This window comes from Homo sapiens, chromosome 7 (assembly GCF_000001405.40).
Source record: "Homo sapiens chromosome 7, GRCh38.p14 Primary Assembly".
Lineage (NCBI taxonomy): Eukaryota > Metazoa > Chordata > Mammalia > Primates > Hominidae > Homo > Homo sapiens.
In genome coordinates, this window is record NC_000007.14 from 72650090 (window position 1) to 72664205 (window position 14116).

Genomic DNA, 14116 nt, shown 5'->3' on the forward strand with positions numbered 1-14116 from the left:
ATTTTTAATAAAGACGGGGTTTCACCGTGTTAGCCAGGATGGTCTCGATCTCCTGAACTCGTGATCCACCCACCTTGGCCTCCCAAAGTGCTGGGATTACAGGAGTGAGCCACCGCGCCTAGTCCAGAATGTTTTTAACCCATCAATTAACCTCCCTGTGCCGAAGCTTGGTCTTGCAAAACAACAAAAACAAAAACCAGACTCATTAGAAGGTGACTCAGTCTGTGAAGTAAGCCCATAAAGTTTCCTCCCTGGAAAGCTTATTAGTGACAAGATGTGCCTGGGGGTACAGCACTCTACTTTATGTCTGACACATAAGAAAGTGAATCTGGAATGATAGGAAGATGAGCCCAGAAAGAAGAGTAGACCACACTTACACTAACATTAGGATGCCAAAAATTAAGCCTTCCATGCAAAATCCTTCTTTATCTAATGTGCATTATTTACTAAATAATATATATATAATGGACACATGGTCAAATAAGTGCTATAAATTCATCTCCTGAGACATCCCCACTGCAACACAGATAAAATGAAAATCAAATAAAGCTGGTTAAAACATACAATGAAACAAGCTCCTGGCCAGGAATTGGACCTAGCTGCCTGTTAGAGCACACATGCATGCAAAAATAACACCTACTCAAGATGAGCCTGTAAACCAAAATTCCAAAAGATACGTGGTAATCTAACATTTCAGAAAGAGAGCCAACCTAATCTACAATTAGAACATAGGCTTTAGTGGAAGAAAATTAAAGTGACAGGACAGGCAATTTTAAAATAAATGGAAGACATGGCTTCATAAAGATGGCAACTTTTCCATATTAACCTACAAATTCAATGCATTCTAATCAATATCTCAAAGTCGTATGTGTGTGAAAACAAAAAACTGATTCTAAAATAAATATGAAAATGTAATTAAAGGCTAAGCACAGGCAAGACCATTTTGGAAAAAAACAATTTTGAAGAACATAGCATGTCTTTTATGCTAGAAAACAAGGCTTACTATAAAGCTATGCTAACTTAGTGAGGTAATGTGACAAGAGAGAAAAACTAACCGATATAACACAGTAGAAAGCTCAGAAATAGATTCATGCATATACGGAAACTTAATTATGAGAGGCAACCATTACAAATCATGGAAGTACAGAATGAATTATCCAACAAATGATGCTGGTTCAATCATTTATCCACTTGGGGAGGGTGAAATATCCCTGTGTCTTATCATACCTTAAAAAAGAAATAGAGAGGCCGGGCACAGTGGATCACGCCTGTAATCCCAGCACTCTGGGAGGCCGAGGTGGGCAGATCACTTGAGGTCAGGAGTTCGAAATCAGCCTGGCCAACATGGTGAAACCCCATCTCTACTAAAAGTACAAAAATTAGCTGGGCATGGCGGGCACCTATAATCCCAGCTACACAGGAGACTGAGGCAGGAGAATTGCTTGAACCCGGGAGGCAGAGGTGGCAGTGAGCCGAAATCGCATCACTGCACTCCAGCCTGGCCAACAGAGTGAGACTCCAACTCAAAAAAGTTAAAAAATTTAAAAATACATAGATAAATGTGTCTACATGTATATGTATATGTATATACATACCTTAAGTCCTTAAGTCCTTAATAAAACACGTTTGCAAGTCATAAAAAATCACAAACATCTCAAAAGAAAAAACTGGCAAGGAACCAAAACAGATACTTCAAAAAGAACAGAAATTGTTAACAAAAATATAAATTATTTCAATATCACAAATGATTAAACACATATTACAATAGACACATGTAATAAAAATATTCAGAGTTGCAATGTTCATAATAGACACAAATTGGAAACAATTTTAACTAATTAATTAAGAGATAGGGTCTTGCTCTGTGGCTCAGGTTGGAGTGCAGTGGTGCAATCACAGCTCACTGCAGCCTCAACCTCCTGGGCTCAAGAGATTCGCCCACCTCAGCCTCCCGGTAAGACTACAGGCAGCAGCCACCACCTCTGGCGCAACTTAAAAATGTTTGGGGCCGGGCGTGGTGGCTCATGCCTGTAATCCCAGCACTTTGGGAGGCTGAGGCAGGCGGATCACGAGGTCAGGAGATCGAGACCATCTGGCTAACACAGTGAAACCCCGCCTCTACTAAAAAAATAAAAAACATTAGCTGGGTGTGGTGGCAGGCGCCTGAAGTCCCAGCTACTTGGGAGGCTGAGGCAGGAGAATGGCATGAACCCGGGAGGCACAGCTTGCAGTGAGCCGAGATTGCACCACTGCACTCCAGCCTGGGCGACAGAGCAAGACTCTGTCTGAAAAAAAAAAAAAAAAAAAAAAAAAAAAATTTTTGTGACATTGTTACAATGGAATTCTTCAAAGCAATGAAAAAAATTAACTATTACTACATACAACATGGCTAAATGATAGACATAATGCTACTAAAGAAGCTAGTCAAAATAAAAGACTATATTGAATGATTGGGAATAGTGGCTACCTTTGGAGGTGGGGGATGACAGGGAAGAAACAGGAAAAATGCCTTTGGAGTGCTAGTTATACTGGTGAGTTGAACTTACAGAAAGTCAGCTGTACACTTTTTATACACCTTAGTGATATAGTATACTGTAAAACATTAACATTAAAAATCAGACTTATATATGTTATTGTTTATAAAGCTGATAATGATGAAATATTAACATGTGGAGTTGTACTTCATCATGTAAGAATGTGCAAAAATGACAAGACCATGAGATGTAACCTTACTAAAGGGCAAATTCGGAAATATCTGTTAAACTTTACAACTGTAGCCTCCTATCCCTGGAATTTGCCTTCCAGAATTTAAGTAAATGATCCGAAATATGTGCAAAGGTGTACATAAATTTTTGCAGTGCTATTTAATAGTAGATGGGTTAAGAAAATCATGACAAACCCAACTAATGAATATGCAGCAATTTAAACTTGAGGTAATATAATACTTAGACAAAGGATCATGATATATTACTAAGTGAAAAAAATCAGTAATCGAATCCTTCATTTTAGGAAAGTAGAAAAACAAGAGCAATTTAAGCTAAAGCGAGCAGAGGAAAAGAAATTATAAAAGTCAGAGCAGAAATCAATAAAATAGGTAAGAGAAAACCAAAAGAGAATAATCAACAAAACAAAAATTTGGCTCTGGAAAAATAAAATTACATTAACAAACTTCTAGCCGGGCTAATCAAGAAAAATGGAGAGAAGACACAAATTACCAATATCAAAAATGAAAAGAGGGCGGGCGCAGTGGCTCACGCCTGTAATCCCAGCACTTTGGGAGGCCGAGGCGGGCGGATCACGAGGTCAGGAGATCGAGACCATCCTGGCTAACACAGTGAAACCCCCGTCTCTTCTAAAAATACAAAAAATTAGCCAGGCGTGGTGGCGAGCACCTGTAGTCCCAGCTACATGGGAGGCTGAGGCAGGAGAATGGCGTGAACCTGGGAGGCGGAGCTTGCAGTGAGCCAAGATCATGCCACTGCACTCCAGCCTGGGCGACAGAGCGAGACTCCGTCTCAAAAAATAATAATAATAATATACCTGCTAACCAGCTGGGATTTATTCCAGGTATGCAAGGCTGGTTCAACATTCAAAATTCATTCAACATCACACATTGGCAGGCTAGTACAGAAAAATAATATGATCATATCAATTGACAATGAAAAGCATTTGACAAAAGCCAACGTCTATTCATGATAAAATCCTTAGCAGGCCAGGCGTGGTGGCTCACGCCTGTGATCCCAGCACTTTGGGAGGCCGAAGCGGGTGGATCACAAGGTCAGGAGTTTGAGACCAGCCCAACCAACATAGCTGAACCCTGTCTCTATTAAAAATACAAAAATTAGCCACATGTGGTGGCGCACACCTGCAATCTCAGCTACTCAGGAGGCGGAGGCAGGAGAATCACATGAACCCAGGAGGCGGAGGCTGCAGTGAGCTAAGAGCATGCCACTGCACTCCAGCCTGGGCGACAGAGCAAGGCTCCATCACAAAAAAGAAAAAAAAAAAAAAAAAATCCTCAGCAAACAAGGAATTAAGGGGAACTTCCCCAACATAATAAAGAATATCTACAGAAAACCTACAGCTAATAGCAAACTTAACAGTAAGAAACTGCATACTTTCCCCCTAAAACATAAGTCTTTACTAATCAAAATCACAGAACTTTATAGCACAAAGAATGAGCCTTAATATATACAAATTCTATTACAGCTCTCTGGTCTTCTCCCCAAAACACATAAGCACAATTTAATCATAAGAAAAGTATCAGAAAAATCCTAATCAAGGGACATTCTACAAAATACCTGACCAGTCCTGCTCAAAACTGTCAAGGTATCAAAGACAAGGGAAGTCTGAGAAACTGTCCAGCCTAGAGAAGCCTAAGGAAGTAAGTCCATTAAATGTAAGGTGCTATCCTGAATGGGATCCTGGAATATAAAAGGGGCATCCCTTCAGCCAAACCTAAAGAAATCTAAATAAAAGTATGAATTTTATGTATTAATACTGGTTATAGGCCGGGCACGGTGGCTCACGCCTGTAATCCCAGTACTTTGGGAGGTTGAGGCGAGTGGATCACCTGAGGTCAGGAGTTCAAGACCAGCCTGGCCAATACAGTGGAACCCCATCTCTACTGAAAATACAAACATTAGCCAGGCGTGGTGGTTGACACCTGCAATCCCAGCTACTTGGGAGGCTGAGGCAGGAGAATTGCTTGAACCCAGGAGGCAGAGGTTGCAGTGAGCCGAGATTGTGCCATTGCACTCCAGCCTGGGTGACAGAGAGAGACTCCATCTCAAAAAATAAACAACAAAAAATATTGGTTCATAAATTGTAACAAATGAACCGTAGTAATGTAAGACGTTAACAATAACAGAAACGGTGTGTGCTGGGAAAGGGGGTGTGCATGGGAATTCTGTACTATCTTTGTAATTTTTCTGTAAATCTAAAACTGTCATAGGAGATGTCATCAAGATGGTTGACTAGAGGCGCTTGGTACTCACCTCCTCCACAAAGAAGGACCAGAATAGCAAGTAGATAACCACACCTCGAAAAGAGCATCTAAGAGACAATATGGGATTTTTGGCAGGGAAGTGATTGGGAATGTCTAAGACACAGAAGGAGAGGGGAAAGGTAAGTGAGAGGTCCCCAGTGGCCCACATCCCCACCACTGACACCTGCAACCCTACCCCCAGAAGAGTCCCTCAGCTCTCACAAGCCCTAAGCCTGGTACAGGAGGCTTTCTGGAATCCACATGACTAACCGTTCCAGAGAGAGAATTCACACTGGGTCCCACTCACACCAGGAGCCCCAAGCAACTACATCACAGCACCGTATTGAGCTCAACCCCCACCAGACTGCATCCTGCCCTGGAGCCCAATAGCCCCTGCATCTCCACATCCCTGGAGCCCTGCTGGCATCCCCCATGTTCTTCCAGAAGGCTGTAGCAGCACAACGCCAGCCAGACCCAGTGATGTGGCCAGGTCCCCAGCACTCTAGTCCACCCCATGTCCTATACCTTGGGAAACAGATGGCCAACACACCAAGATGACTACTCCCAGGACAAAAAGAGCCAAAACATGTGTTCTCCAAAGCCTGGGAGCTACCTGCCTAGGGCCATAGTCACCGGTAGCAACCCCTGGCAGGGCCGCCAATGTACCTGCATACACCTTCAGGTGCCCTGAAAACGTGGTTTCTCTGGGCATGAAGATGTGTCTGCCCATCTGCACACACTGTCCAGGAGCCTGGGGATCAACCCACTCCACCTGTCACCGCCCACTGTCACCAACTGCATGTCTCCCAGGGGCCTGAGGATTGGTCCACTGCCACTACTGCTAGAGCCAGCGCCATGGCACACTGCCTGGGGCCTAAGAACCCACAGGCCCAGCCCATGACTGCCACCACTATTGCATGAGCATGCCACCTGGAGGCCCAAAGACTGGCCCGACCAGGACCCCACAGCCACTACTGGCATCTTTGTCTGCCATCCAGGGCCATGCTGCCACCACCACTGACTGGCGCCTTACAAATGATTGGGCTGATATCCCCTTCCCAGCAAAGCCCTACCACAGCCTCCACTAACAACCACAGCCTATGCCACTGAGAGGAACTCTCACACACCACTGACATTGATTACAATCCAAAAAGTCATAAAAAGACTACACTGCTGCACCCACCCAGAACTACTACCCAACCAACAGTATAAATACATCTACAGGAAAAAGTCTTTGCCTCTGAAAGCTAATCCATAAAATTGGAAGAAGGGATCATTAAACCAGGTGTAAGATATCAATGATAAGGACACAAGAATGATGAGGAAGCAAGAAAGCATGATACCTCTTGTGTTAGTCCATTTGCACCACTATAAAAGAATACTTAGCCGGGCTCAGTGGCTCATGCCTATAATCCCAGCACTTTGGGAAGCTGAGGCATGAGAGTCGCTTCAACCTGGGAGGTGGAGTTTGCAGTGAGCTGAGATCGAGATCGCGCCACTGCACTCCAGCCTGGGTGACAGAGCAACTCTGTCTCAAAAAAAAAAAGAAAAAAGAGAATACCTAAAGCTGGGTAATTTATGAAGAAAAGAGGTTTAATTAGCTCACAGTTTTGCAGGGTGTACAGGAAGCATGGTGCTGCGACCTGCTTCTGGTGAGGCCTCAGGAGGCATACACTCATGGTGGAAGGTGAAGGGGGAGCAGGTGCATCACATGGTGAGAGTGGGAGCAAGAGCAAAGGAGGAGAAAGGTGCCACACACTTTTACACAACCAGGTCTTGCAAGAACTCACTCGCTATCACAAGGACAGCACCAACTCATTCCTGAGGGATCTGTCTCCATGACCTAAACACCTTCCACCAGGCCCCACCTCCAACATTGGGGATCACATTTCAACATGAGATTTGGAGGGGACAAACAACCAAACAATATCTCCTCCAAAGGAAAATCGTAATTCTCCAGTAAAAGATCTCAAAGAAAAGGAAATTTATGAAATGCCTGAAAAGAATTCAAAATAATGATCTTGGGGAAACTCAGTGGATTATAACACAGATCAACAATACAAAGATACAGATATCCTAAAATAGAACCAAATCAGAAATCTTGGAACAGAAGAATTTAATGAATGAAATAAAAAATAAAATCAAGAGCTTCAACACGAGATTAGAGTGGAAGAAAGAACTTCTGAACTTGAAGACAAGGCTTTTGAAACAACTCAGATTTTTTTAAAAAAGATAATTTAAAAGTATATAGAAAGCCTATGTGACATGCAGGACACCATAAAGCAAACATATATTTGAATTTCAGGAGTTCCAGAAAGAGAAGAAATGGACAAAGGTATAAAAAACCTATTTAATAAAATAATAGTTTAAAATTTCTCCAAGTCTTGAGAGAGAGATATAGATAACCAGATACAGTAGGCTCAAAGATCCCCACATATATTCAATCCAAGAAGGTCTTCTCTAAGGCACACTATAGTCAAGCTGTCAAAAGTGAAAGAGAATTCTAAAAACAACAAGTGTCAAGTCATATATAAGGGAATCTCCATTAGACTAAGAGCAAATTTCTTAGCAGAACCCTTATAGAACAGGAGAGAATGGGATGATACAATCAAAGTACTGAAAGAAAAAAACTGCTTATCAAAAATACTACATCCAGCAAAACTATCCTTCAGAAATGAAGGAGAAATAAAGTCTTTCCCAGACTAGTAAAAACAGATAATTCTTCACCACTAGACTGACTGTACAAGAAATGTTTAAGGGAGTCCTATATCTGGAAGTGAAAGAATATCTACCATCATAAAACTGTTCCAAAATACAAGTTTATTGAAAAATAAAAGTATGCTCAACTGTTTATAATCACAGACAAATGGAAGTAACTATCACAAAGTCGTTAAATGGGCCAGGAGCGGTGGCTCGCACCTGTAATCCCAGCACTTTGGGAGGCCAAGGCAGGTGGATCATGAGGTCAGGAGATCAAGACCATCCTGGCTAACACAGTGAAACCCCGTCTCTACTAAAAAAATACAAAAAAATTAGCCAGGTGTGGTGGCGGGCGCCTGTAGTCCCAGCTACTTGGGAGGCTGAGAATGGTGTGAACCCACGAGGTGGAACTTGCAGTAAGCTGAGATCGCGCCACTGCGCTCCAGCCTGGGTGACAGAGCGAGACTCCGTCTCAATAAAAAAAAAAAAAAAGAAAGTCATTAAAATGAATGACATATCCATGGAATAAAATGCAACTAATTTAACACTGAGGTAAAACTGCTTGTATACAAAGAGGTAAAACACATTAAAAATATTGTTACACAAACAAAAAAAGCAACTTGTAGGCAGTATGCAAAGCACGATCCAATTTGTACTTTAAAAATTCAAGTATAGTTAGTATAAACTAAACACGTCAATAAAGATGGTTTCTAAATTATAAATAGATACTCCTTCTAGGGAATGAAACTTAAGCGGGAAGGAAATGGGGGTCCAACCAGGGTGGTTTTCATTTTTATATTTCTGTATATTTTATGAGAGCAAATTTGATAAAGTAATTATTTTCCTTAAAAAGAAACTACATTATACATATAGCATGATACATTAAAACAATATGGATATGTATGTACAAATATACATCTACATATATAAACATAAGACTATTTTGTATTGTTTTGTTTTTTGAGACTGTGTCTTGCTTTGTCACCCAGGCTGGAGTGCAGTGGCACAATCTCGGCTCACTGCAACCTCCACCTCCCGTGTTCAAGCGATTCTCCTGTCTCGGCCTCCCAAGCAGCTTGGATTATAGACGTGCACCACAACACCCAGCTAATTTTTGTATTTTTAGTAGAGATGGGGCTTTGCAATGTTGGCCAGGCTGGTCTTGAACTCCTGACCTCAAGTGATCTGCCCACCTTGGCCTCCCAAAGTGCCGGGATTACAGGCATGAGCCACCACACCCACCCATAAACATAAGATTTAAAAAGCATGCATTCAGCATGTATTACCTTAATCATTAGGAAGAAAGCCCAAGAAACCTAATATAAACATCATCTAGCAACTGTGAAGGCTGGGGCTAAATGTGACAAGAACAGAAAAATGACCTCCCACCCCCGGTGTGGTGTGACTGGAGAACTACACAGCTGGAGCTAGCAAGGAGGAAGGCAGGCTTCAGAACAGAGACAATAAGCTCAGTTGTGTTCCTTTAGATTCCAAGGTGCCAGCAAAAAACTGATGAATATGGCAGGGCGTGGTGGCTCACGCCTGCAATCCCAGCACTCTGGGAGGCCCAGGCAGGTGGATCACCAGAGGTCAGGAGTTCAAGACCAAACTGGCTAACATGGTGAAACCTGTCTCTACTAAAAATACAAAAATGAGCCAGGCGTGGTGGCCCACACCTGTAGTCCCAGCTACTAGGGAGGCTGAGGCAGGAGAATCACTTGAACCCGGGAGGCTGAGGGTACAGTGAGCCGAGATCATGCCACTGCACTCTAGCCTCGGTGACCGAAGGAGACTCTGTCTCAAAGAAAAGAAAAGAAAAAAACAAAAAACTGGTGAATATGTGTAAGAGGCAAGTTGAGGTCAAAATACGGAAACAGAACCTAGGTGTGCAAACCGGGTGGTGGGGTGAGGGAGGATACAATGATATGCTCAAGCAAGATTGTCAAAAGACGAGGGGAAGATGCCAGCAAAGAAGAAAAAAACAATGAGAGCAAAATCTTCTAAAACCCCCAAAGGAGAGAGTTTCAAGAGGCAACTGATGGTGAGCAAGGTGAAACAGCACTGCATTCAGGAGGATGAACGAGGAAGCCGTTATAGATATGGCAATTCATGAGTAAAGCCTTAGCAGAGCAGTTTCCGAGTATCCTAATGGTGAGTCTAATCCAGGGGTCAGTTAACTTTTTCTATAAATAACATGTGAACATAGTAAATATTTTAGGCTTTGAGAACCAAATGGTCTCTGTGGCAGCTACCCCACTCTGCCAGTGTGGCAGGAAAGCACCACAGACAATATGTAAACAAGAATCATGGCGACCAGGTGTGGCAGCTCACACCTACAATCCCAGCACTTTAAGAGGCCAAGGTGAGAAGATCACATGAGCCAGGAGTTCGAGACCTACCTGCACAACATAGCAAGACCTCATCTCTACTAAAATTAAATTTTAAAAATTAGCCAGGTGTGATGGTGCATGCCTGTGGTCCCAGCTACTGGGGAGGCTGAGGTGGGAGGATCGCTTGAGCCCAGGAGATCGAGGCTGCAGTGAGCTGTGATTGGGCCATTGCACTCCAGCCTGGTCAAAAGAGCAAGTCCCTGTCTCCAAACAAACAAACAAACAAACAAACAAAAAAAGGAGCAGCAGCATGGCTGTTCCAATAAAACTTTATTTATAAAAACAAGTCACGCCAGATTTGGGCCCTGAGCTGCAGTTTCCCAACCCCTCACACCAGTCTCTACCATTTCTGTTGAGAAAGAACTACTTTCAGATTCTGCCATCCGACACAATGATTCTTGTTTGAACACCAGTTTCCCGTTTGCAAAATCCTGCTACTGCTTATAGATATATTCCTCTATGTATTTTCCTTAACTGTGAAGATTTAAATGAAAATATATAAGAATTCTGAATCACTCCTAAAGGAGACATTAGGAAAGAGAAAGACCTAGGTATTGGTAAGAGAGAAAGGGATATAAAATAAAAGGCAGAGCAGTAGAAGGTTCTGGATTACAGTCACAAGTAAGAATTAAAAGACAAAACAAACCCAGGCCTTAAAAATGCACTTTAGAATTAGGTTCTAATGGTGAGCCAGGCACAGTGGCTCATGCCTGTAATCCCAACACTTTGGGAGGCTGAGGCGGGTGGATCACCTGAGGTCAGGAGTTCAAGACCAGCCTGGCCAACATGAAACCTCATCTCTACTAAAAATACAAAAGATTAGCTAGGCGTGGTGGCACGCACCTTTAATCCCAGCTATTCGGGAGGCTGAGGCAGGAGAATCGCTTGAACCCAGGAGGCGGAGGTTGCAGTGAGCCAAGATCTCGCCACTACACTTCAGTCTGGACATCAGAGTAAGACTCTGTCTCCAAAAAAAAAAAAGAAGAAGAAGAAGAATATAATGGGAGGAAAAGAATCAGCTGAATAATTGGAGCAGCTCTGCTGAATTCTAGGGAGGTCTGGTGGGGGGCGGGGGGGCACTATAGGTAACTAATGTGTTAGAAACTAAGTTTGAAATAGGATACATTAAATGGATTAAATAAAATTTACCCACAGGTTTTTAATTTCAAGCACGAAATTCTCTGGGTTTCTTGAGCCCAGTGGACCCTGAAAGTCAACAGCTCAGTCATGGGTCAGACAGGGGGGAAAAAAAAGACAAGGCCTGTATTTACTATGCACAAACACAGGACAAAACAAATTTATAATTATCACGTGGATGCTGTAGGAGAATCTGAAATTTTAGTTGCAAGAAAGAAACAGAAAAGTAGAAATTCATTGAATAGTACTCATTACTAATTAAAGGTGTATAAAATGTTACTAATATTCTCTATTCAACATTATTTCCTTGGTCCTTTTGCTAAATGAACATAATATTTAGAAGGGTTTTCACTGATTGCTACAATTCCCAACTTTGATTTAAATTTTGCTTTAAAGAGCTTAATTCTTCAAACTTGACTTCCCCTATCACACAGATGTTGTAGGATATAATCTTTGTGTTTGATAATGAAATGACTGTATTCAAACTGCACCTCCACTAAGAGATGGGCAGGTGGTAGTTTTTTTGTTTTGGGTTTTGTTTTGTTTTCCTGATCTGAGAATGACACCAAAGGTGGTAGGTTTGTGTTTGTTGTGGACTCTGCTTCTCTACTTCCCTATTTCCCTTTCAGAGATTATGAGGAAGTTCTAGAAAACTAGGCAGTCTCTAGCTTTCCTCTAATCCCTGTCCTCAGTCCTACCAAACCCAAAAAATGGCAACCAGAGTCCAAAAAGAATCACTGCCTTTACGCTAGGAGGAATGGTGAAGACATGGTCATGTCATAATGGGTTATAAACAGACAAATGGACCTACAACCTGGGAATTCTCCAGTGTTTTTCAGGGTCTACCAGATATTTTCAAAGAACATAAAGGCAAAAGATGGTAATTTGCTTTCATAAGCCAGGAGAAGAAAAGAAGGGAAATGTGCTTTCTGGTGATATAAATCTTTAAATAGTTAGCTTTGAAAGTCAATGGAGTCAACAGATAACAGTGAACAAAAATAAAATGAAGTGTTCCTTCAGCCACTGGACCAGGTCGGGGTCTCCCCACATCTCGTGATGTGGTTCACGTGTTAGGAGGAGAAATGAATGATGATATATCCCTTCAGGTTTTTAATATATATATATAGATAGATAGATAGATAGATAGATAGATAGATAGATAGATAGATAGATAAATTTTTTTCCTTTTTTCACAAGCTCCAAAGCTAGAAAAATATCACATCAGAAAGATTCTAAAACTGGTAGAGAAAAAGCTAACAAACTCTAAGAGCTGCTCAAATTTTATTTACATGATTTTTAACATTTCTAACAGGCAAAACACATTTTTCCCCCCAGTGTGTGGAAGGGAAGGTGCAAATGGCTGAATATAAATGGTATTTATTTCAATCCAATATCTCAGACTATGAAGGAACTAATGGCATAATTTTTTTTATTCCTATGAAAGTGGCAAATGAGTTTTTGCCATGTACATGAGTTTCTTATGGACCCACATCAGAAGAGCAAGCCATCTTCACACTGCCATAAATCAAATAGAACCCATATAGTTTCTATTATCTTCATTTCCCAAATGCACTAATAAAGGTTTTCAAATGTCAACTTGAGAAAGTGCTTCCTTCTTTCTAGTTTCAATGAGCAAAAGAAATTAGCTTCTGATCATTCTTTTTTATTTCCCTTTCCTGTAAATTCTTTTTTTCATAAATCAAACATGATGATTCTCATAAAAAGGTTCAACTCTAATCTCCAAAATGGCAATAGCCAGGCTAAAAATTTTTAAACAAGTGGTGAGATGAATGGCCGTGAATGATTCCATGTAGAAGAAATTAAGGAGGATGAAATCTACTTGGTAATGGGGTAAAATGCCACTGGTCTCTTAGTCAAGGCGGGGGGTTGTGGGGGGGTTGGCGGCACGATGACTTCTTTGTTATCTGTTTGTGGCAATGGGTCACCATCATTTTAAATCCCAAACCACTTTTGATAAACATGAAAATGTTCCTTCAATGCTATTTGAAATTTCAAAGTAAATATCATTAAAAACAAATTGAAAGCAATGGTTATTTTTTAAAATGTCAGTTCAAACCACCCGGGTGCTCTTGGAGTGCCCCCTCCCCCAGTTCTCTGCTAGGTGAAAATCCATGATCTATGTGACCTAAAACAAATAAAAATCACTTTCAAAAGCCGGGCACGGTGGCTCCCACCTGTAATCCCAGCACTTTGGGAGGCCGAAGCGGGCAGATCACGAGGTCAGGAGATCGAGACCATCCTGGCTAACACAGTGAAACCCCGTCTTTACTAAATATATATATATAAAAAATTAGCCGGGCGTGGTGGCAGGCGCCTGTAGTCCCAGCTACTAGGGAGGCTGAGGCAGGAGAATGGCGTGAACCCGGGGGGCGGAGCTTGCAGTGAGCCGAGATCACGCCACTGCACTCCAGCCTGGGAGACAGCAAGACTCCATCTCAAAAAAAAAAAAAAAAAAAAAAAATCACTTTCAAGTAAACCTTGTTAAGTGACCTTAGTTCCAACTTGGAGTCTCGGACTCATGTTAATTTTTTTTTTAATCTTACGACACTCTGTTGAACGAGTACAAACCATTTACACATATATCACAATAACTCAAGAATCCTGAGAAACAGGTGAAACCATTATTCTAGATATTAGAAATAAAATGTATCTCTACTGAGATATATAAACATCAACTCTCTTACATCTTCTTTTCTACCTACGTGTCCATGTTCAAGTCTCCCCACTTCAAACCAACAGACCAACAACCCTCCCCTCAAAGCACCCCCACAAACCCCAAAGCCTTCTGTGACCCTTCCTCCCAAGATGACCATCTATTCTCTTTCTTGCCAAACATTATGACAATCTGCCGTCCATCTCCACCAAACCATTGAGATTACTT

The 14116-nt window shown here is 41.8% G+C and overlaps 1 protein-coding gene across 4 annotated transcripts in view, besides 1 other annotated feature; it reads right to left on the minus strand.

The window, feature by feature from the left end:
* TYW1B (tRNA-yW synthesizing protein 1 homolog B) overlaps window positions 1–14116 on the minus strand; it is a 253688-nt gene that overhangs the window by 75577 nt on the left and 163995 nt on the right. The window lies entirely within an intron of this gene.
* Window positions 5339–5855: an enhancer, noted in NCBI's record as "H3K27ac-H3K4me1 hESC enhancer chr7:72120413-72120929 (GRCh37/hg19 assembly coordinates)". NCBI's record gives its function as "activates a minimal SCP1, AML or CMV promoter by ChIP-STARR-seq in primed H9 embryonic stem cells {active_cell/tissue: H9 hESC(primed)}" and the evidence as "EXISTENCE:reporter gene assay evidence [ECO:0000049][PMID:30033119]".